General features: G+C 44.7%; 2 annotated features.

Annotated features, from left to right (window-relative positions):
• Positions 16,124-16,318: a silencer, noted in NCBI's record as "fragment chr10:21760456-21760650 (GRCh37/hg19 assembly coordinates)". NCBI's record gives its function as "represses an EF-1alpha promoter that drives an FKBP-Casp9 reporter gene in an ReSE screen in K562 erythroleukemia cells {active_cell/tissue: K562}" and the evidence as "EXISTENCE:reporter gene assay evidence [ECO:0000049][PMID:32094911]".
• Positions 17,621-18,417: an enhancer, noted in NCBI's record as "OCT4-NANOG-H3K4me1 hESC enhancer chr10:21761953-21762749 (GRCh37/hg19 assembly coordinates)". NCBI's record gives its function as "activates a minimal SCP1, AML or CMV promoter by ChIP-STARR-seq in naive H9 embryonic stem cells {active_cell/tissue: H9 hESC(naive)}" and the evidence as "EXISTENCE:reporter gene assay evidence [ECO:0000049][PMID:30033119]".

Here is a 20,815-nt window from a genome sequence, read left to right on the forward strand (position 1 = left end):
AGACAGGGATTCACTGTTGCCCAGGCTGGTCTCAAACTCCTGGGCTCAAGCAATCCACCTGCCTCAGCCTCCTAAAGTGCTGGGATTACAGGCATGGGCCACTATGCCCAGCTGATTTTACCACTTTTGACATTGTTAAAATTTAATTTGGCAGAGAAGGGTGTGTTTGGGTTTTTTTCAATAGGGTATTTCCAGTGAAAAGCTTTTTGCATTTTTGTTCCCTTTTTAAAAACCAGGAACATTAGAAGTTTCCTCTTCTTTAGGGATATTCCTTAAAATAATTGGATTTAATAAATTACTGGGAACAAAAAGAGAGAAACAGCAATTTTTCACCTTCTTTGAGAATGAAAGAAACAAAGAAAAGAAAAAAAAAGAAATAGCAATTTGAAAATAAAATGCCTGAGGTATAACACTCAGACAAACATATTGCTCCTTTATAATAAAAGAGATTTCCACAGAACAGGTGTGTTGGTTGTCAGAAAGGCAACAATCAGTTACTGGTTTAATTCGGGAGATGATTAAAACATTCATATGCACAGGAATGGCACCGTTACCAAGTTCTTCCATGGATGACTTTGGGCAAAGCGACCAATGAATCACAGCCTCCCGGAAGGACAGACAGCTCCAGAGGAGTCCTGTCTCTATATGGGTGGAAGTGTTCCAGGTATCGGCTGGTGTTAGAGGAGGAATCCAAATCAGACTTCCTAAATATGTTCAGAATGTTGTGCAAGCATATTTATTGATGTGAAAGAAATTTGCGAATTGGCAGTGTTCAATTTCTTTTTTCTTTTTTTTTCTTTTCTTCAAATAGGGTCTTACTCTGTTGCCCAGGCTGGAGTGCACTTCACCATCACAGCTCAGCCTTGAACTCCTGGGCACGCGGGATCCTCTCGCCTCAGCCTGTCATGCAGCTGGGACCACAGGCATGCACCACCCTACCCAGCTTATTTTTTTTATTTTTGTAGAGATGAGTTCTCACTATTTTGCCCAGGCTGGTCTTGAACTTTTAGGCTCAAGCAATCCTCCCACCGCAGCCTTCCAAAGTGTTGGGATTATAGGCATTAGCCACTGCACCTGGCCCAATTTCTTAACAGAAAACAAATCTGAAGCAAATAAGGTATAGATAGATTGATAGATTATAAATCTACATTAGTCCAGTACCAACAGGAAACAGATGCCATGCTCAAACTGGATAATTAAATATTGTTAAATGAAGAGATAATTTATAAAGGTGTTATATTAGTTTACTAGGATTGTCATAACAAAATACTACAGAGTGGATGGCTTAAACAATAGAAATTTCTTTTCTCAGAGTTCTGGAGGCTAGCAAGCCAAAATCAAAGTGTCAGCATGGTTCATCTCTTCTGGGGGTGTAAGGGAAAGACCAGGTCCACGCCTCTGTCCTTGACTCATAGATGGCCATCTCCTCCTGGTGTCTTCACACTGTCTTCTTTTACGTGTGTCTATTTCTGAATCCAAATTTATGCTTTTTATACAAATAACACTCTCATTGGATTAGAGTCCACTTTCTTTTATTGTTTGAGGCGGGGTTTCACTCTGTGGCCCATGCTGGAGCTCAGTGGTGAAATTGTAGCTTACTGCAGCTTCAGACTCCTGGGCTCAAGTGATCCTCCCACTTCAGCCTCCTAAGTAGCTGGGACTACAGGTGCACACCACCACATCTGGCCAGAGCCCACCTTTATGGCCTAATTTTAACCTCATTACCTCTGTAAAGGCCTTTTCTCCAAATAAGGTCACATTTTGAGGTATTGGGGGTTAGGATTTCAACATATTAATTAGGAGAGGGGAACATAATTCAACCCATAACAGGCCAGGAGCAGTGGCTCATGCCTGTAATCCCAGCACTTTGGGAGGCCAACGCAGGAGGATCACTTGAGGCCAGGAGTTCAAGACCAGCCTGGGCAACATGGTGAAAACCTGTCTCTACTAAAAATACAAAAATTAGCCTGGCATGGTGGCGCACGCCTGTAATCCCAGCTACTTGGGAGACTAAGGCAGGAGAATAGCGTCAACGTAAGAAGTGGAGGCTGCAGTGAGCCGAGATTGCACCACTGCACTCCAGCCTGGGCGACAGAACGAGACTCTGTCAAAAACAAACAAACAAACAAAAACAGGTGTAGACACTGCTTGAGAAAATCAACAAGGGATAGTACAGTACCCTGGGGCTAATCACAGCAGAAATCTCTTTCCACCCTAGGATGGAAGATGAATGGAGAGCAATATGGAACTTAAACCATCAGAAGATTGCTTGAGCCAAGAAGGTTGAGACTGCAGTGAGCTATGCCACTGCACTCCAGCTTGAGTGGAAGAGCAAGACTGTTTCTTTAAAAAAAAAAACAAAAAAACAAAAAAAAAAACGGCAGGGTGCGGTGGCTCACACCTGTAATCCCAGCACTTTGGGAGGCTGAGGTGGGCAGATCATGAGGTCCAGAGTTCGAGACCAGCCTGGCAAAGATGATGAAATCCCCTCTCTACTAAAAATACAAAAATTAGCCAGGCATGGTGGCGGGTGCCTACTCGGGAGGCTGAGGCAGGAGAATTGCTTGAACCTGGGACACAGAGCTTGCGGTGAGCCGAGATCACGCCATGGCACTCCAGCCTGGGCAACAGAGCGAGACTCCGTCTCAAAAAAAAAAAAAAAAAGGAAAAGATACAAAGGTCTTGTGTTTTGGCTGGTACCCAAATATTCAGGGAAGGGTATCTATGAAGCATTGAGGAATTAACTACCTTCAGAGTTCTCCGTGAAACTCTGATAAAAGTTATTTTTATACCCCAAGTGTCCTGACTACACTAGCAATCAACAATCTTTGCTGAGGCATCTATGCAGAATGTGTGTAAAAATCTTTTATGGAACCTCCCAAAATACCCTTTCCCATAGAGTGCCAGAACACTCAGTGTCCTTTGATGAGATCTAAACACAGCAGAGTTCATTTCTTTGGAATCACCATTATAAGATTTTCTGCGTGACTTCTGCAATGTCATAGCAGGATCTCTCTGTTTTTATATTGGCGAACAGATGTAAAGTTTTAGCTTCAATATAAAGGTTACTGCATAAATTCTGTATGCCTTCGTAAGTCCTGTGACATGGTAAATAAAGTAAAAAACCAGCATCTACACATACGCTATAAAAGTCTCATATCAGTTTTCATCAGCAGATGAAGAGTTACATACCAAACATGTGCAAACATGTAATATTAGAGCTTTCCAACTCAAAAAAATACTAAGCTTTTTCTCAAACTAACAATGATTATATTCCTCTGAGGGCTATGAATATGTAGAGTTTGAAGGTTTTATGTCCAACTATTCTTAAAGTTATTTGAGGGCAGAAAAAGGTCACTGGGATTTTTTTTAAAAATCATTTTATAGAAAAACAGCTGGACTGATTTACTCTAACATCTTCCAGCTATGAAATGGGAAGAAATCTGCCCTGCATAAACCTGAACAGCACGACATTTCAGAAAGAAAGCAAGAAGATTTCTTGGCTGGGCATGGTGGCTCACGCCTGTAATCCCAGCATTTTGGGAGGACGAGGCGGGTGGATCACCTGAGGTCAGGAGTTCTAGACCAGCCTGGCCAACATGGTAAGACCCCGTCTTTACTAAAAATACAAAAATAACCAGGCCTGGTGGCGCATGCCTGTAATCTCAGCTACTTGGGAGGCTGAGGCAGGAGAATCGCTTGAATCTGGGAAGTAGAAGTTGTGGTGAGCTGAGATCACACCACTTTACTCCAGCCTGGGCAATAGAGTGAGACTCCATCTCAAAAAAATAAAAAAAAAAAAAGAAGACAAAAGAAAAAAGAAAGAGAAAGCTGAAAGATTTCTGTGTGGAAATTTGAAATTTTTGGATTTGATCAACTGTTATTTATTAAAGTTGCTATCACTCAAGAATATGATTTATCAGCCGGTGGCTCACGCCTGTAATCCCAGCACTTCGGAAGTCCAAGGTGGGCAGATCACGAGGTCAAGAGATGGAGACCATCCTGGCCAACATGGTGAAATCCTGTCTCTACTAAAAAATACAAAAATTAGCTGGGCGTGGTGGTGCATGCCTGTAATCCCAGCTACTTGGGAGGCTGAGGCAGGAGAATCGCTTCAACCCGGGAGGCGGAGGTTGCAGTGAGCCAAGATCATGCCACTGCACTCCAGCCTGGCAACAGAGCGAGAGTCCGTCTCAAAAAAAAAAAGAATATGACTTCTCATAACAAATAAATCTGAATAAGAAATTTTTTTTTCTGGAAGTTGACTTATACCAGGTAGGAGAGAAAACAGAAACTCAAAACATCATGACTTAATTGTTACATTTACTACATTTACTATTTCTACTTGTCTACATGTATATACATAAACAAGGAGTAACATTTAAACAAAGAAGCTGGGCCGGGCAAGGTAGTACATACCTGTCATCCCAGCACTTTGGGAGGCTGAGGCAGGAGGACCCCTTGAGCCTAGGAGTTCAAGACCAGCCTGGACAATATAGTGAAACCCTCGTCTCTAAAAATAAATAAATAACTGAAAGACTATAGACTATTTCTAAAACCCCATTAAAGTTCAACTTATTCTCACGTCACAGATTTCTTTTTTTTTTTTTCTTGAGACATATTCTTGCTCTGTTGCCCAGGCTGGAGTGCAGTGGCCAGATCTCGGCTCCCTGCAAGCTCCGCCTCCCGGGTTCACGCCGTTCTCCTGCCTCAGCCTCCCGAGTAGCTGGGACTACAAGCGCTCATCACCACGCCCAGCTAATTTTTGTGTGTTTTTAGTAGAGATGGGGTTTCACCTTGTTAGCCAGGATGGTCTCCATCTCCTGACCTCGTGATCCACCTGTCTCGGCCTCCCAAAGTACTGGGATTACAGGCGTGAGCCACCGCGCCTACCCCCCGTTTTTGTTTTTTTTGTTTGTTTGTTTGTTTGTTTGTTTGTTTCCAACGGAGTTTTGCTCTTGTCGCCCAAGCTGGAGTGCAATGGCGCCATCTCGGCTCACTGCAACCTCCGCCTCCCGGGTTCAAGCGATTCTCCTGCCTCAGCCTCCCGAGTAGATGGGATTACAGGCACGCACCACCATGTCCGGCTAATTTTTTGTATTTTTAGTAGAAACAGAGTTTCACCATGTTAGCCAGGCTGGTCTCAAACTCCTGACCTCAGGTGATCCACCCGCCTCGGCCTCCCAAAGTGTTGGGATTACAGGCGTGAGCCACTGCGCCCAGCCATTTTTGGTTTTTGTTTGTTTGTTTGTTTGTTTGTTTGTTTGTTTTTTGAGACAGAGTCTCGCTCTGTCACCTAAAACTGGAGTGCAGTGTCGCAATCTCAGCTCACTGCAACCTCTGCCTCCCAGGTTCAAGTGATTCTCCTTCCTCAGCCTCCTGAGTAGCTGGGATTACAGGCATGCACCACCATGCCTGGCTAATTTTTGTATTTTTAGTAGCGAAGGGGTTTCACCATATTGATCAGGCTGGTCTGAAACTCCTAAGCTCAAGTGATCTGCCCACCTCAGCCTCCCAAAATGCTGGGATTGCAAACATGAGCCACCGCGCCCAGCCTCTCACACATTTTTTAGTTAGTCTTTCACTCTTCACCAAAATATTCATCTTGGCTTTGAGTAGTCTCTGCCTTCTAACGCACTCAATCCTTTATAAAAGTTTGGCTGTGTGTTGTCATATCATCCTCACAAATGAGATGGTTATGAAACATGGTATATTTGTTCATGGTAACTGATGAGTTCTTAGATCATATGCAGATTTTCACTGGCTGTAAGAGAAATCTATATATTGATATGCATAGATACTCAATATATTATTGAATGTTTTATGGTATTTGGAAGGGGAGAGGAATTGGAATGATGCCCTTGAATTATTTGCCAATAAAATTCAAGAGGGAACACTTTAAAGTGGTTAAGATAAAGAATGTTATGCTATGTATATTTTACTATGATAAAAAAAATTCAGGGGGGAAAATACCAGAAAAACATGAGAAAAATAAGTTTACATATATTGAAGGAGTTACGGGACTACTTTGAATAAACAATGCAATGGCATCAAGTTCTTTGATTATGGTATGGCAGATTTATATATCTCATGCTTAGCAGTAGAGCAAAACTGAAATGGCCAGCCAGTATAAGAAACAACATCCAGCCAGCCATCAGATTTCATGTTAGTCAAGTATGATTATAGTCACTTAAACAGTAAAAGTAACACTTCTCAATTTTTAATTTAAAGAATTAAGACATACCTATCATCTAGAATTACAAAATTTTAAGACAGGAAGAGACCATTTTTTACTAATAAAGAATACTGGCCGGGGGCCGGGCGTGGTGGCTCACGCCTGTAATCCCAGCACTTTGGGAGGCCGAGGCGGGCGGATCACGAGATCAAGACATCAAGACCATCCTGGCTAACACGGAGAAACCCCGTCTCTACTAAAAATACAAAAAATTGGCCAGTTGTGGTGGCGGGTGCCTGTAATCCCATCTACTCGGGAGGCTGAGGCAGGAGAATGGCGTGAATCCAGGAGGCGTAGCTTGCGATGAGCCAAGATCGTGCCACTGTACTCCATCCTGGGCAACAGTGCGAGACTCCATCTAAAAAATAAAAAAAATAAAAAATAAAAAAAAAATAAGGAATACTGTCTGGGCCGGGCACAGTGGCTCATGCCTGTAATCCCAGCACTTTGGGAGGCTGAGGCAGGCGGATCATGAGGTCAAGAGTTCGAGACCAGCCTGGCCAACATGGTGAAACCCCGTCTTTACTAAAAATACAAAAATTAGCCAGGCATGGTGGCGTATGCCTGTAGTCCCAGCTACTTGGGAGGCTGAGACAGGAGGATCACTTGAACCTGGGAGGTGGAGGTTGCAGTGAGCCAAGATTGTGCCACTGCACTCCAGGCTGGGTGACAGAGTGAGACTCTGTCTCAAAAAAAAAAAAAAAAAAATACTGGCCGGGCGTGGTGGCTCATGCCTGTAATCCCAGCACTTTGAGAGGCCAAGGCAGATGGATGGATCATTTGCAGTCAGGAGTTCAACACCAGCCTGCCAAACACAGTGAAACCACATCTCTACCAAAAATACAAAAATTAGCCAGGTGGTAGTGGTGCACGCTGTAATCCCAGCTACTCAAGGGGCTGAGGCAGGAGAATCACTTGAGCCTGGGAGGCAGATGTTGTGGTGAGCTGAGATCTTGCCACTGCACTTCAGTCTGGGCAACACAGCAAGACTCTGTCTCAAAAAAAAAAGAATACTGATATCAGAGGAGAATAAAATATTTGCCCGAAATCACACTGTAACTCTAGACTGTGGGTCTTCAATCATTGATTCAACAAATTTGTATTTGGTGCCTAAAACATGCCAGGCATTGTGAATTGTTGGGACTATAGACATGAGTAGGACACTCAGACCCTGCCCACATGGAAGTGCCTGTCAAACAGGATAGCAGACCTAGGTAGATGGCTGCAATGTAGTGTGATGAGTGCAATGGTGCAACTACGTACATACTTCCCCAGCAGTACAGAGAGTGATTCTGTCTCAAGAGCTCTTTATGAGAAAATGAGAAAAAGTAAAAAGGACTTCATAAAGAGAAGGCATTCTTTTTTTTTTTTTTTTTTTTGAGACGTTTTCTCGCTCCGTCGCCAGGCTGGAGTGCAGTGGCAAGATCTCGGCTCACTGCAACCTCTGACTCCCTGGTTCAAGGGATTCTCCTGCCTCAGCCCTCAGCCTCCCGACTAGCTGGGATTACAGGCAAGCACCACCACGCCCAGCTAATTTTTGTATTTTTAGCAGAGATGGAGTCTCACCATGTTGGCCACGATGGTCTCGATCTCCTGACCTCGTGATCCGCCCGCCTCGGCCTCCCAAAGTGCTGGGATTACAGGTGTGAGCTACCGCGCCTGGCCAAGAGAAGGCATTCTTTAACCAGATCTCCATTCAATAAGTAAAGTAGGAAGAAAAAGGAGACATCACATAGTCTGAAGTTCAGCATGGCTACAAGGATGGGGGACAGGTGAAAAATGGGGTGGGAGGAAAGAATGGAAAAATCATGCAGCTTGAAGGGGAGATAGAATTGCAGATGTCTAATGACCTTGTGCTAAATCACTTAGATTTTATTCTGGAGGCCACGAAGGCAAGACATTCAAGCTGGAAGTGGAAACTGTATTTTTGAAAGAGAACTCTCACTCACAGTGGGCTGGAGAATGGATTATAAAGAAACTGGAGCCTGCAAGGTCCATTGCCAAGCTGCAGCAATGGTACACTCACTACTTTATTTTCGTTTTCCAGTAAAAACCTTTGGGACTATGATGTTTTCACCCTCCAATATAAGCCAAGATGTCAAACTGTGAACTGCAGTTCAACCCTGACCAGTCACTGGCTTCTTCTAAAGCTTCTGCTACCACCCCGTCTTCATATGGATGGAGCATTCCTTTTCCCTCAAATACACCAAAATGTACTCCTAGGGGCCAGGCACAGTGACTCACACCTGTAAGCCCAAGATTTTGGGAGGCTGAGGCAGGCAGATCATTTGAGTTCAGGAGTTCAAGACCAGCCTGGCCAGCATGGTGAAAGCCTGTCTTGTACTAAAAATACAAAAATTAGCCGGGCATGATGGCATGTGCCTGTAATCCCAGCTACGTGGGAGGTTGAGGCAGGAGAATTGCTTGAACCTGGGAGGCAGAAGTTACAGTGAGCCAAGATTATGCCACTGCACTCCAGCCTGGGCGACAGAGCAATACTCCATCTCAAAAAATAAAAATAAATTTTAAAAAATCGCTTACTGTCTCTAAGACTTTCCTAGAGTGGAGAAATGGGATTTGTCTCTCTACACAATAGTATACAGATAGGCACAAAGAGGATATGGGTTTGCATCTGAAGATACAGATCTGGAAGGCATCTGTGAAGCATGACGCCACAGAAAAGAATCCAGTCACCCAGGGAAACACACAAAACAGGAAAGAAAAAGGCTTAAAGAGTGGACAGAAGGCCGGGCACAGTGGCTCACACCTGTAATCCCAGCACTTTGGAAGGCTGAGGCAGGACAATCGCTTGAACCTGGGTGGTGGAGGTTGCGGTGAGCGGAGATCACCCCATTGCACCCCAGCCTGGGTGACAGATTGAGACTCCGACTTAAAAAAAAAAAAAAAAAAAGAGAGTGGACAGAAGAGGGAATCAGGCAAAGAAACTAGTGAAGAGTACCCACCTGGAATAACCAACAAGGGCATCCACAGATATGAAATATCTCAAAGCCATACCAAACAGGCAGGTTACTTGTATGTAAGCCAAAAATCAGCTGCCTGCCTGACCCCCACGTTCTTAGGTCATCTTGGGTCAATCTATCCTTTAAGATTAAAATATCAGGCCGGGCACAGTGGCTCCCACGTGTAATCCTAGCACACAGTGGCTCACACCTGTAATCCCAGCACTTTGGGAGGCTGAGGCGGGTGGATCACAAGGTCAGGCGGGTGGATCACGAGTTTGAGACCAGCCTTACCAACACAGTGAAAAGCTGTCTCTACTAAAAATACAAAAATTAGTCAGGCATGGTGCATGGTGGCGTGTGCCTGTAATCCCAGGTGCACAGGAGGCTGAGGCAGGAGAATCGCTTGAACCCAGGAGGCAGAGGTTGCAGTGAGCCGAGATCTCACCACTGTGCTCCAGCCTGGGTGACAGAGTGAGACTCTGTCTCAAAAAGAAAAAAAAAAAAGATTAAAATATCCTGTGGAAGCCAGGTGTTGTGGCACATCCCTGTAGTCCCAGCTACTCAGGAGGCTAAGGCAGGAGGCCAAGGCAGGAGGATTGCTTGAGCCCAGGAGGTCAAGACTCAAGACTGCAGTGAGCCATGATTGCATCACTGTACTCCAGCCTGGGCAACAGAGCAAGACCTTGTCTCAAAAAAAAAAAAAAAAAATTATCCTGTGGAACTGCAAATTAATACAATCCGTAAAGCGGGTCATGTGAGAATGTCTACTAAAATTTTAAGCACACGTGTATTTTATCTAGCAATTCTACTCTTAGGGATTTATCCTATAAACATATTGGCACATTTGCAAAGTTATTTTTGAAGGATAAGTTAAGTAAATCATGGTACTTCTAAACATGAAATACTATGCAGCCAAAAATCTATTAAAAGTGGGGGAGGAGGCTCTATCTGTAGTAATATGGAAAGATAAAACCAACATATACCATTACATGAAAAAAAAATACAGAAGGTTATGCAAAGTATGCTACCATTTGTGTGAGGAAAAAATAATGTGTAAACTTCTATGTTAAACAAATGTTTAATATCTCTTGAAGAATACTCAAGAAATTGATAACAATGGTGGCTGGGAGCCACTAGGATTAGTGGCTCACACCTGTCATCTCAGCACTTTGGTAAGCGGAGGCAGGTGGATCACCTGAGGTCAGGAGTTCAAGATCAGCCTGGCCAACGTGGTGAAACCCCGTCTCTACTAAAACTACAAAAATTAGCTGGGCCTGGTGGTGTGTGCCTGTAATCCCAGCTATTCCGGAGGCTGAGGCAGGAGAATTGCTTGAACCCGGGAGGCAGAGATTGCAGTATGCTGGGATCGAACCACTGCACTCCAGCCTGGGTGACACAGCAGGACTCTGTCTCAAAAACAAACAAACAAACAAAAAAAGATAACAATGATACCTTCATAGCTAGGAAACTGAAGAGGAAAGGATGCTTATTTTTCATTATATGCCCTTTTGAACATTTTGAATTTTATGCCGTGTGTGTAATACCTGTTTAAAAATTAAGGTTGGTTTAAAAAATGAGCTGGGCATGATGGCATGTGCTTGTAATCCCAGCAGTTCGGAAGGGTGAGGTGGGAGGATCCCTTAAGCCTAAGAAATTGAGACCAGCCTGGACAACCTACCAAGACCCCATCTCAAGATAAAATAAAATATCAAAATAAAATAAACATTAAAAATAACCAATTACACCATCCTGGCCAACATGGTGAAACCCTGTCTCTACTAAAAATACAAAAATTAGACAGGCATGGTGGCGCACACCTGTAGTCCCAGTTACGCGGGAGCCTGAGGCAGGATAATTGCTTGAATCCAGGAGGTGAAGGTTGCAGTGAGCCGAGATCGAGCCACTGCACTCCAGCCTGCCAATAGAACGAGACTCCGTCTCAAAAAAAAAGCAATTACATAAGAATTGTTGGCCAGGCGCGGTGGCTCACGCCTGTAATCCCAGCACTTTGGGAGACCGAGGTGGGCGGATCACGAGGTCAGGAGATCGTGACCATCCCGGCTAACACGGTGAAATCCCGTCACTACTAAAAATACAAAAAATTAGCCGGGCATGGTGGCAGGCGCCTGTAGTCCCAGCTACTCGGGAGGCTGAGGCAGGAGAACGGCATGAACCCAGGAGGCGGAGCATGCAGTGAGCCAAGATCACGCCACTGCACTCCAGCCTGGGCGGCAGAGTGAGACCCTGTCTCAAAAAAAAAAAAAAAAATTGTTTAAGCAAGAAAATATTTACAATGAAATAAAGAAAAAAAAATTTTTTTTTGAGATGGAGTCTTGCTGTGTGGCCCAGGCTGGAATGCAGTGGCACAATCTCGACTAACTGAAACCTCTGCCTCCCAGGTTCAAGCAATTCTCCTGACTCAGCCTCCCGAGTAGCTGGGACTACAGGTGCCGGCCACCATACCCAGGTAATTTTTGTATTTTTAGTAGAGACGGGGTTTCACCTTATTGGTCAGGCTGATCTTGAACTCCTGACCTCAGGTGATCCACCTGCCTCGGCCTCCCAAAATGCTGGGATTACAGGTGTGAGCCACTAATCCTAGTGGCTCCCAACCACCACTGTTATCAATTTCTTGAGTATTCTTCAAGAGATATTAAACATTAGTTTAACATAGAAGTTTACACATTATTTTTTCCTCACACAAATGGTAGCACCTGGCCAGAAAAAAAAATCTGTATTAAAATAACTCACTTTCCCACCCTATATACAAGGGAAAACTAGTGTCCCTCCCAATATCTTCGAGGATTCTTGGGGAGAAGAGGGGACTTGCATTTCTCCTAGTGACCTCCAATTCTGATATCTTGATTTCACTGGATTCTTAGGCTCAACTCTCATTCCTGCCTCCTACATATGCTACTTGTCACTGTGAACAGTAGCAGCAGTTGCTAGCTCTAATTAAGCCTGTTTTTCCCTACAAAGCCCTCCTTAGAGCTCTTTTCAAAACTCTATCTACTAGTAACAGGAATGGGGATGTCTTTTCTCCTTCTAGTTAGTACTCAATCAAAAAATTTGAGCCAGGCACAATGGCTCACACCTGTAATCCCAACATTTTGAGAGGCCACGGCAGGAGGATTCCTTGACCCAGGAGTTCAAGACCAGCCTGGACAACACAGTCAGACCCCATCTCTACAAAAAAATTTAAAAATTAGCTGGGTACAGTGTCATATTCCTGTGGTCCTAGCTATTCAGGGGGGCTGAAGTGGGAGGATCACTTGACCCCAGGAGTTGGAGGTTGCTGTGAACCATGATCACACTACTACATTCCAACCTGGGCAATAGAGCAAGACCCTGTCTCAAAAAAAAAAAATTTTTTTTTTTTTGATGTATGAGTTCCAGCTACCTCCACAATAGAGAACAGCTTACCCAAGTGGTGCCAGCAACCAGCCAACGCCACCAGGCATCTAAAGCTTTGAAGCCTATACATGACTTCAGTCCCTGTCCTTCACTTCTGTCTCCCAGAGATCTGCCACTACTGGGGCATCTCTGTGGTGTGGCCAAGTCACAAAATCAAAGTCCTCAACATTTGTCCTACTTCCATATTCACTGTTTCTAGCAGTATCCCTCCTGCCTCCTCCAGGGGCTCCACTGTAGACTAGGTGCTCGCCCCGTAGTCTAGACCCAGTCTCTAGGAAGTCCTCTCCTAACAAGTGGAGCAGGGTAAGAACACTGGACCAATCAGGCCGGGCACAGTGGCTCACACCTGTAATCCCAGTACTTTGGGAGGCTGAGGTGAGTGGATGACTTGAGGCCAGGAGTTTGAGACCAGCCTGGCCAATATGGTGAAACCTCACCTCTACTAAAAACACAAAAATTATCCAGATATGGTGGCGCACAACTACAATCCCAGCAACTCAGGAGGCTGAGGCAGGAGAGTCACTTGAGCCTGGGAGGTGAAGGATGCAGTGAGCCAAGATCGCACCACTGCACCACTGCACTCCAACCTGGGCAACAGAGCAAGACTCTGTCTCTCAAAAAAAAAAAAAAAAAAGACCAATCAAAGCCTGCCTGCCCAGGAACCTGTGATCCTCTCTCACTTGCTATTTCTGCAATGAATTTTTTGGTCTTGACCACTCCAGGAAGTTCACACAATACTGCATACCTTCTGCCTAAAACCTTTCTTTTTTCTTTTCTTTTTTTTTTGAGAGAAAGTCTCACTCTGTCGCCCAGGCTACAGTGCAGTGGCTCGATCTTGGCTCACTACAATCTCCACCTCCCGAGTTTAAGCAATTCTCTGCCTCAGCCTCCTGAGTAGCTGGGATTACAGCTGCGTGCCACCACGCCCAGCTAATTTTTGTATTTTTAGTAGAGACAGAGTTTTACCATCTTGGCCAGGCTGGTCTGGTCTTGAACAGGCAAGAGCCACTGTGCCCAGCCTAAAACCTCCTTTCTTAAACTATTGCTTCAAGGATCATCTCAAGCAGTTTAAAAGAATTCTCTGTAACCCCAGCTCTTTGGGAGGTCTCAGGCAGATCGCCTGAGGTCAGAAGTTCGAGACCAGCCTGAACAACATGGTGAAACCCCGTCTCTACTAAAAATACAAAAATTAGCTTGGTGTAGTGGTACACACTTGTAATCCCAGCTATCTGGGAGGCTGAGGTAGGAGAATTGCTTGAATCCAGGAGGCAGAGGTTGCAGTGAGCCGAGATCATGCCACTGCACTCCAATCTGGGAGACAGCAAGACTCCATCTCAAAAAAAAAAAAAATTTATCTGACTTTGAAGTCTCCTTCAAGAACCAAAATATCCTGTACAGGTGAATTTGTTAACAACGGTTGGTTAAGTGTAGTATTCCTAGCAAAGATGCACTCTTGGCTCAGCTCTAGAGGGATGACTGAAGCCAACGTACAGCTGGGTATGGCACCAGAGTTCAAAACTGCTTTAGACAGGATCCCAAAATGGAACCCAGAGGTCAGCCACCTGGATGCCAATCCTCCATCCTGCAGGGTTCATTCTGATATAGTTTCTATATTAGTCCCCACCTAAACCTCATGTCAAACTGTAATCGCCAGTATTGGAGGTGGGGCCTGGTGGGAGGTGATTGGACCATGGGGGTGGATTTCTCATGAATGGTTAGCACCATCTCCTTGGTGCTCCCCTCACAATAGTAAGTGAGTTCACACAAGTTCTGGTCATTTAAAAGTGTGTGACACCTCTCCTCAACTCTCCGTCTCACTCCTGCTTTCACCATGTGAGACACGTGCTCCCCCTTCACCTTCCACCATGATTCGAAACTTCCCAAGGCCTCCCCAGACACAGGTGCCACTATGCTTCCTGTACAACCTGTAGCGTCATGAACCAATGAAACCTCTTTTTTATATGTATTACCCAGTCTCAGGTATTTCTTATTTCTTTCTTTCTTTTTTTTTTTTTTTAGACAGTATCTCACTCTGTCACGCAGGCTGGAGTGCAGTGGCTCGATCTCGGCTCACTGCAACCTCTGCCGCCTGGGTTCAAGCAATTCTCCTGCCTCAGCCTCCCTAGTAGGTGGGATTACAAGCACCCACCACCACACCTGGCTAATTTTTGTATTTTTAGTACAGACGAGGTTTCACCATGTTGGCCAGGCTCATGTGGACTTCAAGTGATCCACCCGCCTCAGCCTCCCAAAGTGCTGGGATTACAGGCGTAAGCCACTGTGCCCGGCAGGTATTTCTTTACAGCAATGCAAGAATGGCCTAATACAATTCTATACCATGATATTTGAATTCAGATGATCCAAATACCATCTCATATATGACAGGACACCTAGGATCCCCTCCAATTTTATGTATCTGGGGATTCTACAGAAAACAACTTTCTTCTCATCTCTTGTTCCAATGTCCTGTACCTGCTGAATTCTCAATCCCTCTCACATATCATCTTGTGAAGCTTTTTTCTTTCTTTTCTTTCTTTCCCTTTTATTTTTTTTAAGATGGAGTCTTGCTCTGTTGCCCAGGCTGGAGTACAGTGGCGCAATCTCGGCTCACTGTAACCTCCATCTCCTGGATTCAAGATATTTTCCTGCCTCCACCTCCTGAGTAGCTGGGATTTCAAGTGCGTGCCACCACACCTGGCTAATTTTTTTTTTTTTTTGTATTTTTAGTAGAGATGGGGTTTCACCATGTTGGTCTGGCTGGTCTCGAACTCCTGGTCTAGGTCTGCTCGACTAGGCCTCCCAAAGTGCTGGAATTACAGGCATGAGCCACTGTGCCCAGCCTTCTTTCTTTATATATACATATATATACACATATATTTTGAGATGGCGTCTCACTCTGTCACCCAGGCTGGAGTACAGTTAGCACGATCTCAGCTCACTGCAACATCTGAACCCTAAATTCAAGCAATTGTCCTGCCTCAGCCTCCCGAGTAGCTGGGATTACAGGTGCCCACAACAAGCCTGGCTAATTTTTGTATTTTTAATAGAGACTGGGTTTCACCATGTTGGCCGGGCTGGTCTCAAACTCCTGACCTCCAGTGATCCACCCGCGTCAGCCTCCCAGAGTGCTGGGATCACAGGCATGAGCCACCTCACCTGGCCCTGGGAAGCTTTTTTCTTTTTTTCTTTCTTTTTTGTTTTTTTAAGACAGAGTCTCACACTGTTGCCCGGGCTGGAGTGTAGTGGTGCCATCTCGGCTCACCGCAACCTCTGCCTCCTGGGTTCAAACAATTCTCCTACCCCAGCCTCCTGAGTAGCTGGGATTACAGGTGCCCACCACCACGCCCAGCTCATTTTTTGTATTTTTAGTAGAGACAAGGTTTCACTATGTTGGCCAGGCTGGTCTTGAACTCCTAACATCATGATCTGCCTGCCTCAGCCTCCCGAAGTGCTGGGATTACAGGCTTGAGCCACTGTGCCCAGCCTGAGAAGCTTTTTTCTACCTACAAAAGCTCATTTTCAAAGCATCCCACCCTCTGACCCTTCCCTCTTTTTTTTTTTTTTTTCTTAAGAGAGGGTCTCACTCTGGCCCCCAGGCTGGAGTGCAGTGACACTATCAGAGCTCACTGCAGCCTTGACCTCCCAGGCTCAAGCAATCCTCCCATCTCATCCTCCCAAATAGCTGAGACTATAGGCACATGCCACCACACCCAGATAATTTTTACTTTTTTTGTAGAGACAGCGTTTCACCAAGTTGCCCAGGCTGGCCTCGAACTCCTGAGCTCAAGTGATTTGCCCACCTCAGCCTCCCAAATTGCTCGGATTACAGGTGTGCACCACGACACTCAGCTGGAACACCATTTTTACTTGCAAGAACAACTGACAGATGTATGATTATTTAGGCTTCAGTGTTTGGCACATTGTCTCAACATTAAATGAAGTGAACCTATCACTTTAAGGAATACAGCTGACAGTGTTGGTTTCCAGTAATAAAATTTGAGCTTTCAAGCAAAAGCTAGAATTTTCAAAAACTTGAATCTGCCACTGTGAGCTTAAAACCTTCCCAATACTTAAAACTTTTCTGCTGAGATCAATGGCGATAATAACAAATGTGATTCTTTTAATATTGTGTAATGAAAAGCGCCAATATTTGGAAGATCTGCATGATTCAGGGAACCAATATTTTCCACATGACCAGTGCATGACGTTACAAAATTATGTATGGGCAAAAGGTCCATTTATAAGGCAAAATAAATCAATGAATTTTAATATAACAGAATACAAAAAGTTCATTGATATGAATGCAGATTCTACATTGCAACTACATTTTTAAGAAATTACCACTTGTCAAGTTTTGGTAGGGTACCAAAGAATAATACCTATGATTATCTAAAAATGCTACTAAAATACTCCTCTATTTTCCAGCTTTATGTCTATGTAAGGTGGAATTTTCTTCAACTACTTCAACCAAAATAACATTGCAACAGATTGATTGCAAAAGCAACTATGAGAACCAAGTGTCTTTTTTTTCTTTTTTTTTTTTTTTTTTTTGAGACGGAGTTTTGCTCTTGTTGCCCAGGCTGGAGCGCAATAGTGCGATCTTGGCTCACCGCAACCTCTGCCTCCCAGGTTCAAGTGATTCTCCTGCCTCAGCCTCCCTAGTAGCTGGGATTACAGGCATGTACCACTGCACCTGGCTAATTTTGTATTTTTAGTAGAGACGGGGTTTCTCCACGTTGGTCGGGCTGGTCTCGAACTCCCAACCTCAGGTAATCCGCCCGCCTTGGCCTCCCAAAGTGCTGGGATTACAGGCATGAGCCACCGCGCCCGGCCCCAGGTGTCTTTTATTAGACCAAATATTAAAAGAAATTTGCAAAAATGTGAAACATCTTTCTTCTCACTAAATCCTTTTTGTTTTGGAATAAATAGTTATTTTTATAAAATACATGTCATTTGTGCTAACATGTATAGGGTTTTTGTTATTTTAAAATTAATTAATGATTATATATTTTTAAAGTTTCTCTAATTTCTAATATAGTAAACATCGATAAATAGAACTCACAAAATCAAAGCTCGTTTTTTTTAAGAGTAGAAATGGGATGCTGAAACCAAAAAGTTTAAGAACTATTGGTTTCACCGAACAGAAAAAATCATTTTAGAATATATCTGCTTTTTGTTCAGGGAAAATCGATGACTGGCCTTCCTTAGTTATGTAAATATATGATGAACAGGCACCTACTGCTCTGGGAGAAGGGATAAGAGGACCTTTTGTGACCTGACAAAGTCTGTCCCTCGAAGCTTGGTATACAGAGGTAGTCACTAAGAGTAAATCTGCATGGGGACCAAGAAGCATCCTGGGAAGAAAGCAAACAAACCCTGGCCCCTTCTCTTTGAGATTGAATGTCCTTGCAACCACTCAGAAGGCTTGAGAACCGGTGGAAACAAAGGACATCAAAGTCTTCAAAGGAGTAAACTCACCATGAGACAGAGAAGAATTCTGCACAGGTGACCAGGGCCTAGAAGGCCATACGGGAGGAATCGCTCCTGCAGAGTGTGAAATTGAGGATGGCAAACCTCTCTGGATCTCTGGATCCAGCTACTTTGTCCCAGCAGTTCTATCTTGGGAATAATGATTGAACATGAATGTGAAGTAGAAGAGAGATTCTCTGGGAGCCCGTATGTGGGTATCTGCAGAGATCTGAAATAGCAGTACCATCATTGTAGCAGTGGGGCCGGGCCTGGGCTGAATCACCCTTCAGCAGTGATAACCACCAGGTGATGATATAAGAAGCAGCAACCCAGCCGGGCGCGGTGCCTCACACCTGTAATCCCAGCACTTTGGGAGGCTGAGGTGGGCGGATTACGAGGTCAGGAGTTTGAGACCAGCCTGACCAACGTGGGAAACCCCATCTTTACTAAAAATACAAAAATTAGCCAGGCATGGTGGTGCATGCCTATAATCCCAGCTACTCAGGAGGCTGAGGCAGGAGAATCACTTGAACCCAGGAGCCGGAGTTTGCAGTGAGCTGAGATCATGCCACTGCACTCCAGCCCAGGCGACAGAGTGAGACTCCATCTCAAAAAAAAAAAAAAAAAAAGCAGCAACCCTAAACCAGAGCACACTGAGGAACTATTTAATTCTGCAGCTTTTTTGCTACTTCATGTTTGAGAGCAGACCTGATCACTTTGAACTGAATAAGCCCCTATTATTCTGGAATAATTGGAGGGTGATGGACAGTTTTAAAAGAGAGATTCTGTGGTCAGGCACAGTAGCTCATGCCTGTATTCACAGCACTTTAAGAGGCTGAGGCAAGAGGATCGCTTGAACCCAGGAGTTCAAGACGAACCTGAGCAACATAGCGAGACCCCATCACTACAAAAAAAAAAAAAGGATAAGTACAGAGTGCTTCGGAAACAGATAGAGAGGTATCCAACCAAGTCTAAAGGAAATATAGAAAAAACTTCCCAAAGTACATTAATCAGGACATTTATTGCCAGTTGGTAAAGCAAAGAATCCTAAATATCAATGATTTAACACAATTAATTAATATTAAATATTTATATTTTTGTTCTGCACCAGCAGATTTCCTTTTCTTTTTCTTTCTTTTTTTTTTTTTTGTTATTGTTGTTGTTGAGATGGAGTCTCGCTCTGTTGCCGAGGCTGGAGTGCAGTGGCGCGATCGTGGCTCAACCTCTGCCTCCCGGGTTCAAGTGATTCTCCTGCCTCAGCCTCACGAGTAGCTGGGATTACAGGCATGTGCCACCACACCCAGCTAACTTTTGTATTTTTAGTAGAGGCGGGGTTTTGCCATGTTGCTGGTCTCAAACTCCTGACCTCAAGTGATCCTCCCATCTTGGCCTCCCAAAGTTTTGGGATTACAGGCGTGAGCCACTGTGCCTGGCCAAACCCACAACTTTTACTTACATTCCATTCTCCAGAACCAGCCACATGGCCCCACCAAGATGCAAGAGAAATGGGTAATGTAGGTTTTCTGGGTCCCAGGAAGGAAATGAAATGGTTTGGTGAACACATAGCATTTTCTCTGCCACACAGAAGTGATTTCTGAGTTAAAGGATGAGGGAGTGAGGCCCAGCACGGTGGCTCACACCTGTAATCCCAGCACTTTCGGAGGCCAAGGTGGGTGGATCACCTGAGGTCAGGAGTTCGAGACCAACCTGACCAATATGGAGAAATCCCATCTCTACCAAAACTACAAAAATTAGCCGGGCGTGGTGGCACATGCCTGTAATCCCAGCTACTCGGGAGGCTGAGGCAGGAGAATCGATTGAACCTGGGAAGCGGAGGTTGCAGTGAGCCAAGATCACACCACTGCACTCCAGCCTGGGTGACGGGGGAAGGATCTTGGTGGGAAGTGACTGGAGTAAAAAATGTCAGGGGAAGGTATGATAAGCTGTGAGACTAAAAAGTAAACAAGGCCCTATCATAAAGAGTCTGTGTGCCATGTAAACTAAACTGGGCTTTTATCCAGTTTAGTTTACACGGCACACATGGAGAGCCATTCACGGGTTTTAAACAAGGGAGTGATGTGATCATATCTTAGCTTCTGAAAGATCATTTGGACTGAGGCATAGAGACCAGATTGGAGGTCAGACACGTAGCTCAAGCCTGTCATTCCAGCACTTTGGGAGACCAGAGTAGGAGGATCATTTGAGATCCGGAGTTCGAGACCAGCCTGGGCAACATAGCAAGACCCCACCTCTAAAAATAAACTTGTTAAAAAAAATTGTGTGAATGAAGAGTGTGGCAATGAGGGGTGAACAAGCAGGGGAAAATGGTGTTGTATACTGAGACAAATAATTTTTTTTTGTTTGAGACGCAGTCTCGCCCTGTCACTCAGGCTGGAATGCAGTGGTGCGATCTCGGCTCACTGCAACCTCCGCCTCCAGGGTTCAAATGATTCTCCTGCCTCGGCCTCCTCAGTAGCTGGGATTACAGGCGCACACCACCACACCCAGCTAATTTTTGTATCTTCAGTAGAGACGGGGTTTCACCATGTTGGTCAGGCTGGTCTTGAACTCCTGACCTTGTGATCTGCCCACCTCAGCCTCCCAAAGTGCTGGGATTATAGGCGTGAGCCACCGTGCCCGGCCAAAGAATTTTTTGTTTTAAAGAGCAGTTTTAAGGAGAAATATAATATGCTTGGGGAACAGCCAAGTGAAGTCAGAGTTATTTGGAAAACTA

Source organism: Homo sapiens, chromosome 10 (genome assembly GCF_000001405.40).
Source record: "Homo sapiens chromosome 10, GRCh38.p14 Primary Assembly".
NCBI lineage: Eukaryota > Metazoa > Chordata > Mammalia > Primates > Hominidae > Homo > Homo sapiens.